This window comes from Homo sapiens, chromosome 7 (genome assembly GCF_000001405.40).
Source record: "Homo sapiens chromosome 7, GRCh38.p14 Primary Assembly".
Classification (NCBI taxonomy): Eukaryota; Metazoa; Chordata; class Mammalia; order Primates; family Hominidae; genus Homo; species Homo sapiens.
The window spans coordinates 73,797,437-73,811,666 of NC_000007.14; the positions used below are offsets into that span (position 1 = coordinate 73,797,437).

Here is a 14,230-nt window from a genome sequence, read left to right on the forward strand (position 1 = left end):
CCGGACGGGGCGGCGGGGCAGAGGTGCTCCCCACATCTCAGACGATAGGCGGCCGGGCAGAGACGCTCCTCACTTCCCAGATGTGATGGCGGCCGGGAAGAGGCGCTCCTCACTTCCTAGATGGGATGGCGGCCGGGCAGAGACGCTCCTCACTTTCCAGACTGGGCAGCCAGGCAGAGGGGCTCCTCACATCCCAGACGATGGGCGGCCAGGCGGAGATGCTCCTCACTTCCCAGACGGGGTGGCGGCCGGGCAGAGGCTGCAATCTCGGCACTTTGGGAGGCCAAGGCAGGCTGCTGGGAGGTGGAGGTTGTAGCGAGCCGAGATCACGCCACTGCACTCCAGCCTGGGCACCATTGAGCACTGAGTGAACGAGACTCCGTCTGCAATCCCGGCACCTCGGGAGGCCGAGGCTGGCGGATCACTCGCGGTTAGGAGCTGGAGACCAGCCCGGCCAACACAGCGAATCCCCGTCTCCACCAAAAAAATACGAAAACCAGTCAGGCGTGGCGGCGCGCGCCTGCAATCGCAGGCACTCGGCAAGCTGAGGCAGGAGAATCAGGCAGGGAGGTTGCAGTGAGCCGAGATGGCAGCAGTACCGTCCAGCTTCGGCTCGGCATCAGAGGGAGACCGTGGAAAGAGAGGGAGAGGGAGACCGTGGGGAGAGGGAGAGGGAGAGGGAGAGGGAGCAGCTTGATAAAATTTTTACATTTGTGAATACGCATGTAACCAGCACTCAAATCAAGACCTAGAACATTTCTATAACCAAAAAAAAATCCCAAAACCCAAAGTGCTGGGATTACAGGTGTGAGCCACCGTGCCTGGCTGAGTTTTTTATATATTCTGATTACTATACATTTGTTGGCATTTTAGCTTATTTGAAAACTTTAAAAATTATATGTATGGTCTTGCAATTTTTTTTTTTTTTTTTGAGATGGAGTTTTGCTCTTGTTGCTAGGCTGGAGTGCAATGGCACTATCCAGGCTTACTGCAACCTCCACCTCCCGGGTTCAAGTGATTCTCCTGCCTCAGCCTCACAGGCATCCACGACCATGCCCAGCTAATTTCTGTATTTTTTAAATAGAGATGGGGTTCACCATGTTGACCAGGCTGGTCTCGAACTCCCGAACTCAGGTGATCCACCTTCCTTGGCCTCCCAAAGCGCTAGGATTACAGGTGTGAGCCACCATGCCCAGCTGAGTTCTTTATATACTCTGATTACTAGACATTTGTTGGCTATATGGGTTGCATTTAGCTTATTTTAAAACTTTAAAAATTATATGTATTGTCATGCAAGTTTTTTTTTTTTTTTAATGGAGTCTCACTCGGTCACCCAGGCTGGAGTGCAGTGGCACGATCTTGGCTCACTGCAACCTCCACCTGCCAGGTTCAAGCAACTCTCCTGCCTCAGCCTCCCGAGTAGCTGGGACTATAGGCGCGCACCACCACACCCAGCTAATTTTTTGTATTTTTAGTAGAGACGGGGTTTCACCGTGTTGGCCAGGCTGGTCTCAAACTCCTGACCCCGTGATCTGCCCACCTCGGCCTCCCAAAATGCTGGGATTACAGGAGTGAGCCACCGCGCCCAGCGTCATGCAAGTTTTTAATATGTCTATCTCCATCAATTTTTTCTTTTTCATGTATCTTTTGTGTCTTACTTAAGAAATATTTCTCTAAATCCAAGAAATGGAGGTATTCTCCTATAGTTTCTTCTAAGTGTTTTACAGTTATTTTCTTCACATTTAGATGTTTAACGACAAAAGATTCTTTGCTTGTCCAAACTTCAGTCAGGTTTCTGAGTCTTCTCCTAAGCCCATCCACGTACTTTCTTGTAAAACTCAGTTTTGGCAAGAGCCCTGCTGGGTCAGTTCAGCAAGAACGCTCCATCCTCAATATCTGATCATCCTTAGTATCTGATCAATTCCTCACCCTCCATGATACCTCACGTGATGTCTGATTACCCTGGCCTGTCTTCAGCAGCAATCCTGCTAGGTTGGTTTAGCTAGAATTCCCTTCATGCCTGATGTTTTCTCTTAGTAATTTTCCATCCACCTACTCCCACTCTGCTCCTGGGCTATAAATTCCCACTTGCCCATGCTGTATTCGGAGTTGAGCCCAATCTCTCTTCCCCACTGCAAGACCCTGGTGCAGTGGTTCCTATACCTATTGCGATGGTCCTGAAGAAAGTCTTCCTTGACATGCTTTAACATGTGTTATTGAATAACATTTTAACAGTTATGGTGCTGCAACTCAGATAGGACCAGATTCATCCCTGGACGTAGCTTCTCCCTAGGACATTAAGTGAGTGCCTTTGAAGTCTTTGTCTTCCTTCCTGACTGACTCATCAGGAAGTCAGACTCCCGAACCATTGCTCCAAATATCCGTTGAAGCAGGTAAGGACAGACTTTGATTCCTTTGTTGTTGTTGTTTTTTCTTGGTTTGAGACAGGGTCTCACTCTATCACCCAGGCTGGAGTGCGGTGGTGCAATCATAGCTCACTGCAGCCTCAAACTCCAGGGCTCAAGCAATCCTCCCACCTCAGCCTCCTGAGTAGCTGGGACTACAGGCACACCACCGTGCCTGGCTAATTTTTTATTTTTTGTTTTTTGTAGAGATGGGGTCTCACTATGTTATCCAGGCTGATCTTGAACTCTTTGGCTCACGTGATCCTCCCACCTTGACCTCCCAAAGTGCTGGGATTATAGGCATGAGCCGCTATGCCTGGCACAGACTTTTTTTTTTTGAGATGGAGTCTTGCTCTGTCACCCAGGCTGGAGTGCGGTGGTGTGATCTCGGCTCACTGCAACCTCTGCCTCCCAGGTTCAAGTGATTCTCCTGCCTCAGCCTCCCGAGTAGCTGGGACTGCAGGCATGCACCGCCCCGCCCGGCTAATTTTTGTATTTTAAGTAGAGACGGGGTTTCACCATGTTGGCCAGGCTGGTCTCGAACTCCTGACCTTGTGATCCACCCGCCTCGGCCTCCCAAAGTGCTGGAATTACAGGCATGAGCCACCGCTGGCACAGACTTTGATTCTTAAAGTATGGGTATATTTGCTGAAGCTGGGTTAGAGTCCCAGGTTTCTTTTGAAAGGTACTTTCTGGGCTGGAAGTCCTTCTTCCTGGCCCTCTGTGAGGCCTCCCTATTCTCTCTGTTCTCTCTATTGGATCCTGCTTCTCCCACGGGAAACTTTTCTGTCACCTGAAAGCTCTCTTCTCGAACTCCTGCTGACTCTATCCTCTGCCAACTGTGTACCCCACTGCCAGGCCCTTTTCCTCTCCACTCCAGCCCCTCAGTCTCTTGTACCTTAGACCCCCTACCCTTCACTGGGGGCTCTTAAGGAACTCAGCACCTCATTCCGCAAGCAAGCACCTGAAGCTGAAAATAAAATAACAACAACAAAAATAGAACTGTTTGAAAACTGAGACTGGGTGTGGTGGCTCATGCCTGTAATCCCAGCACTTTGGGAGGCTGAGGCAGGAGACTTCTTTGAGCTGAGGAGTTTTAGATGAGTCTGGGCAACATAGCAAGACCCCATGTCTATAACAAACTTAAAATATAGCCAGGTTTGAAGGCACACACCTGTGGTTCCAGCTACTTGGGAGGCTGAGGTTGGAAGATTACTTGAGTCTGGGAGGTCGAGGCTGCAGTGAGCTGTGACTGCACCACTGCACTCCGGCCGGCCTCAGTAACAGACTGAGACCTTGTCTCAAAAATAAAAAATAAAAAAAGCAAAACAAAGAAAAAGAAAACTGGACAAATGAAAAAATCTTAAAAGTTGCCTTCACAGATATTGGTAAAAATTTTTAGTCCTTACTGGGTTGGTAACCTTAATTTGTCCCATTTGTATCAGAAACATAATTGGATGTGAAGATAAACCAGTGAATTTATATTATCCTGGTTTACTGCCTCATGATTCAAATTTTTAAGATGAAAAGCTATAAGATCTGTTTACATCTGTCTGTATGTTTATGTATGTGTATATGTATGTATGTATGCATGTTTGTTTGTTATGTATACATGATATTTTTCTAACTTCAATGCTAATACAAAACGAAAATAGCAAATTGTCTTAGGGATAAATGCGCACTCAAACAAATTAAGTATTCATAAAATTATCAGAAAAATAAAAAACTGAACAATTTTTTTCAAGTTCACATGATCCAGGATAGTCTTTAGTAAATAAAAGTTAGTTTTAAAATTGTTGGTAAAATGAAAATAGGACTGTCTTCAGAACTGTTATCATTAAATACAGACATACAGTTTTTCCTGAGTATGCTGGTAAGATACGTTTGTGTTGTATTTGCTAGATGTTTAAGGTCATAAAGCTATAAATCTAACCTAAGAACAGAATGTACAAGAAAAATGAATTGCTTAATTGCTTTGTGCATGTCAGGACATAAAAGTTAAAAAAAAAAAAGAACCTTGTTTAACTTTTTAGTTTCATTGCTTTTGTGATGTTTTTGATACTTACCTGATTTATTAATAGGAAAAATACTTTAAAATAGTGCCTACCTTTGTTTAATGTTTCATGACATTTTTCATGAGCAATTAAACCGTAATTGCTGCGAATAAATAAATTAGGAGAATGTAGTAGAATAAAAATTTGTAAATGAACTTTTAAAAAATAATTATGCTTTAAAAGATGTCTACTTGAAAATAGTTTCAAAAATCTTTTTGTGACAACTTGCAACCTTAAAGTTGTGTTAAGTAAAATTGAGTAATTGATATTCATTAAAAATTTAGACTCAACTGTGGAAAAGAAATCTTGTCATGTGTGGTCAAAGCTGGCTAAGATTGGCTAGATTTATTTGTGAAGTTTTATTAAAAATTAGTTCTACTAGTACATTGATGCAAAAGTAGAATTTGGTCGTCTTTCTAAAAATTATGAAGTTTCCTTGAACTATTGGTCTGAGAATGTGAAGGGTTTTTTTTTTCCTTTAAGTAATTGGCCTAGAAAATAAAAATTTTATGTCTTATCAAGGGAATTTCTTGTTCTTGATGTTGTCTTTTATCACGTCTTTGGTTACTTAAGAAAACTAAATCTTCTCAATATCAAAAAACCTAAGTTTTTCTTCACAACTATGTAATCTGCTATATTTGCCTTTAAAATATTTTATTGTCACCAACATGGTGAAACCCTGTTTCTACTAAAAATACAAAAATTAGTCTGGCGTGATGGTGCGTGCCTGCAATCCCAGCTACTTGGGAGGCTGAGGCAGCAGAATTGAACCCAGGAGGCGGAGGTTACAGTGAGCTGAGATTGCACCACTGTACTCTAGCCTGGGCAACAAGAATGAAACTCTGTCTCAAAAAAAAAAAGTTATCAACACTTTGATTAGATAACCGAGATTATGTTTAATTAAGTGCTTTAACCCTTTTGACATTTTTTATAAACTTCCCAAAATCATATTCTAAATTAAGTCTTTTTAACTTCAAGTTAATTTTGGTATTTTCCAGTTGAGCCCCAGGATATCTCAAAAGGTATGTCTCTCACCTAGTAAAAGAAAGATATTAAAATAATTACACTTATTTCATATGTTAAATTATATAGGAAGCATTGTGAAATGAGAAATAATGTTTAACCTTGTTTGAGTTAAATTTGTATGGACATGTTATTAATATATGCTCCAGAAACTATAGGAAATTCCTAGAAATGTAGTATGTTATCAGTCATAATTTTGATTATTATGTTAAAAGGTTGTATGCCACAGAAATCAAATTTTCTTAATTGTATCACTATTATAATGAACTCTCATCAGATCTTTAACCATGCCATTTTACATCTTTATCATCCATAGACAGTTATTTTACTTAAATTATTCTGTAAAAGCATTTGCAAGACTTAGCTCCAGTTCAAAGTTGCTTCTTTGTCAAGGAAATTAATAAAAAGACTGTGTCAATTACCCTGGAATACAGGTTTCTGATAACTTTAAGATAATACCATTGGACTTGGTTAGACATTCCAGAACTCTAGTGAAAATGATGGGCTCATGAAACTGTGATCTCACGATCAAGCAGAACAAATATTAACTACGTGGATTGTAGTATCATATGGCTTCATGTATTAACTACATGAATATAAACTGATGAACATAATTTTCACGTTAAAAAAAGTTATTTTTGCCGGGTGCCAGTGGCTCGGCTCACATCTGTAATCCCAGCATTTTGGGAGGCTGAGGCGGACGGATCACCAGAGGTCAGAAGTTCGAGACCAGCCTGGCCAACATGGTGAAACCCCGTCCCTACTAAAAATACAAAAAAAAAATTAGCCAGGCGTGGTGGTGGGCACCTGTAATCCCAGCTACTTGGGAAGCTGAGGCAGTAGAATCACTTGAACCCGGGAGGCAGAGGTTGCAGTGAGCCAAGATCGCCCCATTGCACTCCAGCCTGGACGACAAAAGCAAGACTCCGTCTCAAAAAAAGAAAATTATTTTTATTTTCTTTATTTTTCTTTCTAACACTTCTCCCTCACCACCCATGAGTTTTTATTTGAAACATTGCTGGTTTTTTTGAATGTTTTATTTTCCAGATTTTCTTTTTTTGTTGAGACGCAGTCTTGTTCTGTTGCCAGGCTGGAGTGCAGTGGTGCAATCTCGGCTCACTGCAACCTCTGCGTCCCGGGTTCAAGCGATTCTCCTGCCTCAGCCTCTCAAGTAGCTGGGACTAGACAAGCTCCACTGCGCACAGCCAATTTTTGTATTTTTAGTAGAGACAAGGTTTCACCATGTTGGCCAGGATGGTCTTGATCTTTTGACCTTGTGATCTACGTGCCTTGGCTTCCCAAAGTGCTGGGATTACAGGCGTGAGCCACTGTGTCCGGCCTATTTTCCACATTTAAAAAAGTTTTTTTTTTTTTTTGCCTGGGTGCATTGGCTCATGCCTGTAATCCCAGCACTTTGGGAGGCCGAGGCGGGTGGATCACCTGAAGTCAGGAGTTTGAAACGAGCCTGGCCAACATGGTGAGACCCCATCTCTAGTAAAAATACAAAATTATCTGGATGTGGTGGTGTGCACCTGTAATCCCAGCTACTTGGGAGGCTGAGGCATGAGAATTGCTTGAACCCGGGAGGCAGAGGTTGCAGTCAGCTGAGATCGCACCATTGCACTCCAGCCTGGGCAACAAGAATGAAACTGTGTCTCAAAAAAAAAATAAAATAAAAAATAAATAAATAATTAAAAAGATGTGTTTCCCCCCCCCTTTTAAACTATCTATAGCTTACAGCAACTTGGCAAACTTTATTAGACAAAAATGGAAACATTTACTTTTTCTCCCTACCTAATTCCTCCAGAATTCAGAAGCTATTCATGAGTTTTTTTTTTTTCTTATCTACCTACAATCTGAACTAGCTCTTGAATTCTGTTTATTTTCTCCATCATCTGGCCACAACTCTTCAAACTAATATTTCCAATTTTCTCCCACCCTTCTGTTTTGGAATCACTGAAATTAAAACTGCTCTTTTCCTGAAGTCCTGCAAGCTGAAGCTGACAACTTGACATAAACTTCAGAGAAGCTGCCACAACAGTTTATGTATGGCCAGCCTTCATGATAGCCAAACAGCAAACCAGGGAAATCTGTCATTTTCCACTGCTTGCTGAAGATGGTTCAGGCCCAGCATCTAGAAATCTTCTGGAGCGGCTGCCCTTTGGATTTAGAAACTGAGTTTACAGTTTGTTCCCACTATTAACCTTGTTTTTCTTTTATTTTCATAGAAACTGAACTTCCCTTATTAAAAACCTGCTGACTTACACTTACACTATCTAGGAGAGCTCCACTAACAAGTCCCAACAGATGATTTTGCTGGTCCTTAATGAACCAGCTAAGATTGGCTAGATTTATTTATGAAATTTGATTAAAAATTAGTTCTGGTAGGCCGGGCGCAGTGGCTCACGCCTGTAATCCCAGTACTTTGGGAGGCAGAGGCGGGCAGATCACCTGAGGTCAGGAGTTTGAGATCAGCCTAGGCAACACTATGAAACCCCGTCTCTACTAAAAAAGTACAAAATTAGCCGGGCGTGGTGGCACATGCCTGTAATCCCAGATACTCAGGAGGCTGAGGCAGGAGAATCACTTGAACCTGGGAGGCGGAGGATGTGGAGGATGCGGTGAGCTGAGATCATGCCATTGCACTCCAGCCTGGGCAACAAGAGTAAATCTCTGTCTCACCAAAAAAAAAAAAAAAAATTAGTTCTGGTAGTACATTGATGCAAAAGTAGAATTTGATCTTCTTTGTAAAAATGACAAATTTTTCTTGAACTATTTGAGAATGTGAAGTGTTTTTTTTTCCTTTTAAGTAATTGGCCTAGAAAATAAAGATTTTGTATTTTATCAAGATAATTTATTGTACTTGATGACTGAACCAAAAACCGGACTTATATTGTTCAAAGGGAAGAAGAATGTCTCTTTCCTTTGAACAAGAAGGGGGACTGACAAAGATTCTTTGCTTGGCCAAACTTTAGTAAGATTTCTGAATCATCTGCACACTTCCCTGTAAAATCTAGTTTAAGCAAAAACCCTGCTAAGTCCGTTTAGTGAAAATCCTCATCCTTGACATCTGATCATCGTCAGTATCTGATCAGGTTCCTCGGCCTCCACCATGCCCCAGGTGATATTGGATCACCCTGGCTTGTCTTCAGCAAGAACCTGGTTAAGTCAATTTAGCCAGAATCCTCCTAACCCCTGATGCTTCCTCTTAGCAATTTTCCATCTGCTGACCCCCACCCAATCTACTTCTTAAGTATAAATTCCCACTTGCCCATGCTGTGTTCAGAGTTGAGCCCAATTTCTCTTCCCCGGTGCAAGACCCCATTGCAGTACCCCATTAAGTGTTCCTAATAGTGATTGCAATAATCCTAAATAGGCCAAGCATGGTGGCTCACGCCTGTAATCCCAGCACTTTGGGAGGCCAAGGCGGGTGGATCATCTGAGGTTAGGAGTTTGAGACCAGCCCAGCCAACATGGTGAAACCCTGTCTCTACTAAAAATAAAAAAATCAGCCAGGCATGGTGGTACGTGCCTGTAATCCCAGCTACTTGGGAGGCTGAGGCATAAGAATTGCTTGAACCCAGGAGGTGGAGGTTGCAGTGATCCAAGATCATGCCATTGCACTCCAACCTGGGCCACAGAGCAAGACCTTGTCTCAAAAAACAAACAGACAAACACAAAAAACAAACCAAAAAACACAACCAAAAACAATAGTCCTAAATAAAGTCTTCCTTACTGTGCTTTAACAAGTATCATTGAGGCCGGGTGTGGTGGCTCACGCCTATAATCCCAGTACTTTGGGAGGCAGAGGCAGGTGAACCACGAGGTCAGGAGTTTGAGACCAGCCTGACCAACATGGTGAAATCCTGCCTCTACAAAATTCTGTAAAAAAATTTTACAAAATGTTTTTGTAAAAATACAAAAAAAATTAGCCTGGGCATGGCGGAGTGTGCCTGTAATCCCAGCTACTCAGGAGGCTGAGGCAGGAGAATTGCTTGAACCTGGGAGGCGGAGGTTGCAGTGAGTCGAGATTGTGCCATTGTATTTCAGCCTGGACGACAAGAGCAAAACTCCGTCAAACAAACAAACAAACAAAACCCACAACAACAAAAAAACTCAAATATTATTGAATATTTTTCCTTAACATTAGTTTATTTCATACATATATACATTCATATAGATATGTGTTCATATATAACTATATAAAATCTATCCTATAGCCAGTCTGTCCAACACCCACACTTTTTTCCTTGGCTTAAGTTAGACATTGTCAGTTTTGGTTGCTTTCCATCAAAATAATCATATCTAGTACCTCTGCTATCTTCTATATGGAGGCCTTGGTCTGATTGGACAGACGTGGCCATGCCTTTGGGAGACGCTTCTGAAGGAGGCAGGCCTTGCCCCAGGAAGCCTCAGCCAGAAGGGGAAAAATAAGAAGTCATTGCTGCCGGGTGCAGTGGCTCATGCCTGTAATCCCAGCACTTTGGGAGGCCAAGGCGGGTGGATCACCTGAGGTCAGGAGTTCGAGACCAGCCTGGCCAACATGGTGAAGCCCCGTCTCTACTGAAAATACAAACATTAGCCAGGTGTGGTGGTGCATGCCTGTAGTCCCAGCTATTCGGGAGGCTGAAGCAGGAGAATCGCTTGAATCTGGGTGGCGGAGGCTGCAGGGAGCTGAGATCATGCCACTGCACTCCAGCCTGGGTAAGACAGAGCGAGACTGTCTCAAAGAAAAGAAGTCATTGCATATATAGGAAGCTCCAAACAGGTTTGAATCTTGGGTGCTCCGGCTGTGTATCCAGGTGCTGGGCTGTTCTGACAACTATGGCCATGGATTCCAGGGACTTCCTGGAAGGGTGATTTTCCAGTTAACTTTTGTTATACCGACATCTAGGCTGAGACACCGATATTTATGTGTGTTCTCAGAGACAGAGCCTAAAGTGGGGAGACAGTGTTGGGGGCAGGAGGCAGAAGAAGGAGGGGTGGGGGCAGCTGGTGCTCGTGGACAGGAAATTTCCTCTTAGAGCCTCCTGCAAGTGGGAAAACACCCACACCTTAGGTCCCTGTGACCATACAGTGCCTGGCCCTGGTGAGTTAAAACTCAATTTGAGGTGGGGTGTGGTGGCTCACACCTGTAATTTCAGCACTTTGGGAGGCAGAGGCAGGAGGATTGCTTGAGGCCAGGAGTTCAGGACCAGCCTGGGCAACATAGCGAGACCCCTGTCTCTCTTTTTTTTTGAGACGGAGTTTTGGTCTTGTTGCCCAGGCTGGAGTGTAATGGTGTGGTCTCGGGTCCCTGCAATCTCTGCCTTCTGGATTCAAGCGATTCTCCTGCCTCTCAGCCTTCTAAGTGGCTGGGATTACAGGCATCCGTCACCACACCCAGCTAATCATTGTATTTTTAGTAGAGAGAGGGTTTCACCATGTTGACCAGGCTGGTCTCGAACTCCTGACCTCAGTTGATCCACTTGCCTCAGCCTCCCAGAGTGCTGGGATTACAGATGTGAGCCACTGCACCCGGCCTGTATTTTTTTTTTGTTTGTTTTTTTTTTTGTTTTTTTTTTTTTTGAGACAGAGTCTCGCTCTGTCGCCTAGGCTGGAGTGCAGTGGCGCGATCTTGGCTCACTGCAAGCTCCGCCTCCCGGGTTCACGCCATTCTCCTGCCTCAGCCTCCTGAGTAGCTGGGACTACAGGAGCCCGCCATCACGCCCGGCTCAGTTTTTGTATTTTTAGTAGAGATGGGGTTTCACTGTGTTAGCCAGGATGGTCTCGATCTCCTGACCTTGTGATCCACCCGCCTCGGCCTCCCAAAATGCTGGAATTACAGCCGTGAGCCACCCGGCCTGTTTTTTAAAAAAGAAAAATACAGTCCAGCTGTGGGGGCTCACGCCTGTAATCCTAGCACTTTGGGAGGCCAAGGTGGGAGGATTGCTTGAGGTCAGGAGTTCAAACCAATCTGGCCAACATAGTGAGACCCTGTCTCCAAAAAAGAAAAAAACAAAAAAACCAAAAAACTACGTAACTCAATTTGTGTTTTTCTTCCCGTGCAAAAAACAAAAAAACAAAAAGCCACGTAACTCAATTTGTGTTTTTCTTCCTGTGCAGTGGGGTCACTGGCGTTCGCCCCTCCCCAGTTGCCATTTCCCTGTCTCTGTTGCCCCTAGTCTCCTTACCTTCTCTGTCCAGCTCCCTGAAGCCCCTAAGCAGCCTCTTTTTTTTGAGACAGAGTCTTGCTCTGTTGCCCCAGCTGGAGTGCAGTGGTGCCTTCTCGGCTCACTGCAACCTCCACCTCCCGGGTTCAAGCTATTCTCCTGACTTAGCCTTACAGGCACCTACCACCACTCCCAGCTAATTTTTGTATTTTTAGTAGAGACGGGGTTTTGCTGTGTTGGCCAGGCTGGTCTCGAACTCCTGACCTCAGGTGATTCACTCGCCTTGGCCTCCCAAAGTGCTAGGATTACAGGCGTGAGCCACCGTACCCGGCCCCCTAAGCAGCCTCTTAAACTGGCCATCTGAGAAGCAGAACTCTTGAGGTGAGGAGTTTGGTTTGGGGCTCAGAGGGCCGCGCGTGTGTGGCCTCTGTCTGTCCGGGGATGGGGTGGGCGTGTTTGGCTTTCGAGGTGGATTCGTGCTTGTGTGAGAGGGTGTGTGTTTCTCATTCCTGGTATCCTCAGTTCCGGGCGTGGCGTGTCCCTCCGTGTGAGTGACGGTGGGAAGGTGAGGTGAGAGTGGCCAGGGCGGGGTGGAACTGTTTTCTCTCGGCCCGTCCAGGTTGGCTGCTTTTGGGTAATTCCCAGGCTCTGAGATGTCACAGAGCCAGGACGGGAGGAGTGAGTCACCCCCACCATTCCGCCATTGCCCTGGAGAAGCTTCTTCCCTGTCCCCAGGGCCCGGTTTCACTGGGAGCCATAAAAAGGCCCTGCCCAAGCTTGGTTTCTTCCGTTTTCAGCCGGACCTGCTGAAACCAAGCCTGGGGGCTGCCTGGGAGCGTGCCAAGGGCACTGCCCAGATGGGGCCCAGCCCAGAGGGAAACCAGCCCAGCAGGGACCCAGCTCCAGCTAAGGCCAGAAACCAGAGCCCACCCTTGGGGGCTGTTCTGTTCCTGGTCTCATCTGGTTTATACATATATATATATACACATACATATATATATATATACACACACACATACACATACATATATATATATACACACATACACACATATATATATATATATATACACACACACATACATATATATATATATATATATATTTTTTTTTTGACACAGTGTCGAGCTCTGTCGCCCAGGTTGGGGTGCAGTGGCATAATCTTGGCTTAGTTCAACCTCTGCCTCCCAGGTTCAAGTGATTCTCCTGCCTCAGCCTCCTGAGTAGCTGGGACTACAGGCATGCACCACCATGCCCTGGCTAATTTTTGTATTTTTAACAGAGATGGGTTTTCACCATTTTGGCCAGGCTGGTCTCGAACTCCTGACCTCAAGTGATCCGCCCACCTTGGCCTCCCAAAGTTCTGGGATTACAGGCATTAGCCACCGCGCCTGGCCACATCTGGTTTATATCTTAAGCCCCTCTGCCCACCAGGAGCCCCTTCCCCTGCAGGACTATGCCCCAGGCCCCCTCCACTCCCAGACTCCCCTCTGTAAGCTCCCCTTTCTTCCCTGAGCCCCATTCCTCTCCAAGAGCCCCCTCCCCTATCTGAAGCTCCTCTTCTCCTGGAGACCCTTCCCCTCCCAGTTCCCCCGCACCCCCTCCCTCCACTGCCCCTCCCTCTTAAAGTCCCCTACCCTTCTGTCCTGTCACTTCCCTGCCCTCTCGCTCCCTGGGGTGGGAGGGCCTGGCTTGGCGAGGCGGCTAAGAGAGGGGAAGGGGCTCAGGGTGGGGGCAGGGCATGTCTGGGGTCTGCCAGCTTGTCTTGGCCTGGCTGGCTCTCTATTCCATTATGAACATGTGGCTGGGGTTTCTGCCATCCTCCCAGGCCCTGGTGGGGTGGTTGGGGCTGAGAGGGTGATGGGGAGGGGAGGAGGAAGGGGCCGCAATGCCAATCACATCACCCCAGGGGCTCAGAACAGCTCCCGCCTCTCCTCCTCCTCCCCTTCTTTCTCGCCCCCACCCCCCTCCCCACCTTCCAGAGCCCATTAGCCCAGGGCTGCAGTGACACCTGCCTCCACTGGGGATCCTCCCCTACTCCTGGGGCCATAGCTGCTCCCCCAAGGGTGGGTTACCCTCTTGCCTTTTGACCTTCCCAGGGACCTGGCAGTCCTGCCCCTGGGTGGCCACCTCTTCAGCCTCTCCCAGAGCCTTGGCCACACTTGCTGTGCCGTCCGCAAACACCCAAGGGGGCACCGTGCCCAGTCCAGGAATCAGGCAGCCATCACCTTCCCAGCCAGACCCTGGGAAGGATAGACCCACAGCCTTAGCCATATACAGAGCACTGGGCAACTTTTACTTTTCACCATGATGAGCAACTTGTCAAAAGAATTTGCAAACAGACAGGTGCGGTGGCTCCCGCCTGGGATTATAGGAGGCTGAGGCGAGGGGATCACCTGAGATCAGAAGTTCCAGACCAGCCTGGCCAACATGGTGAAACCCCATCTCTACTAAAAATACAAAAATTAGCCAGGTGTGGTGGCGTGTGCCTGTAATCCCAGCTACTCGGGAGGCTGAGGCAGGAGAATCACTTGCACCCAGGAGGCAGAGGCTGCAGTGAACTGAGAGCTTGCCACTGCACTCCAGCCTGGATGAC

The 14,230-nt window shown here is 46.1% G+C and overlaps 1 annotated feature.

Annotated features, from left to right (window-relative positions):
* Positions 1,946–2,586: an enhancer, noted in NCBI's record as "OCT4-NANOG hESC enhancer chr7:73213712-73214352 (GRCh37/hg19 assembly coordinates)". NCBI's record gives its function as "activates a minimal SCP1, AML or CMV promoter by ChIP-STARR-seq in naive H9 embryonic stem cells {active_cell/tissue: H9 hESC(naive)}" and the evidence as "EXISTENCE:reporter gene assay evidence [ECO:0000049][PMID:30033119]".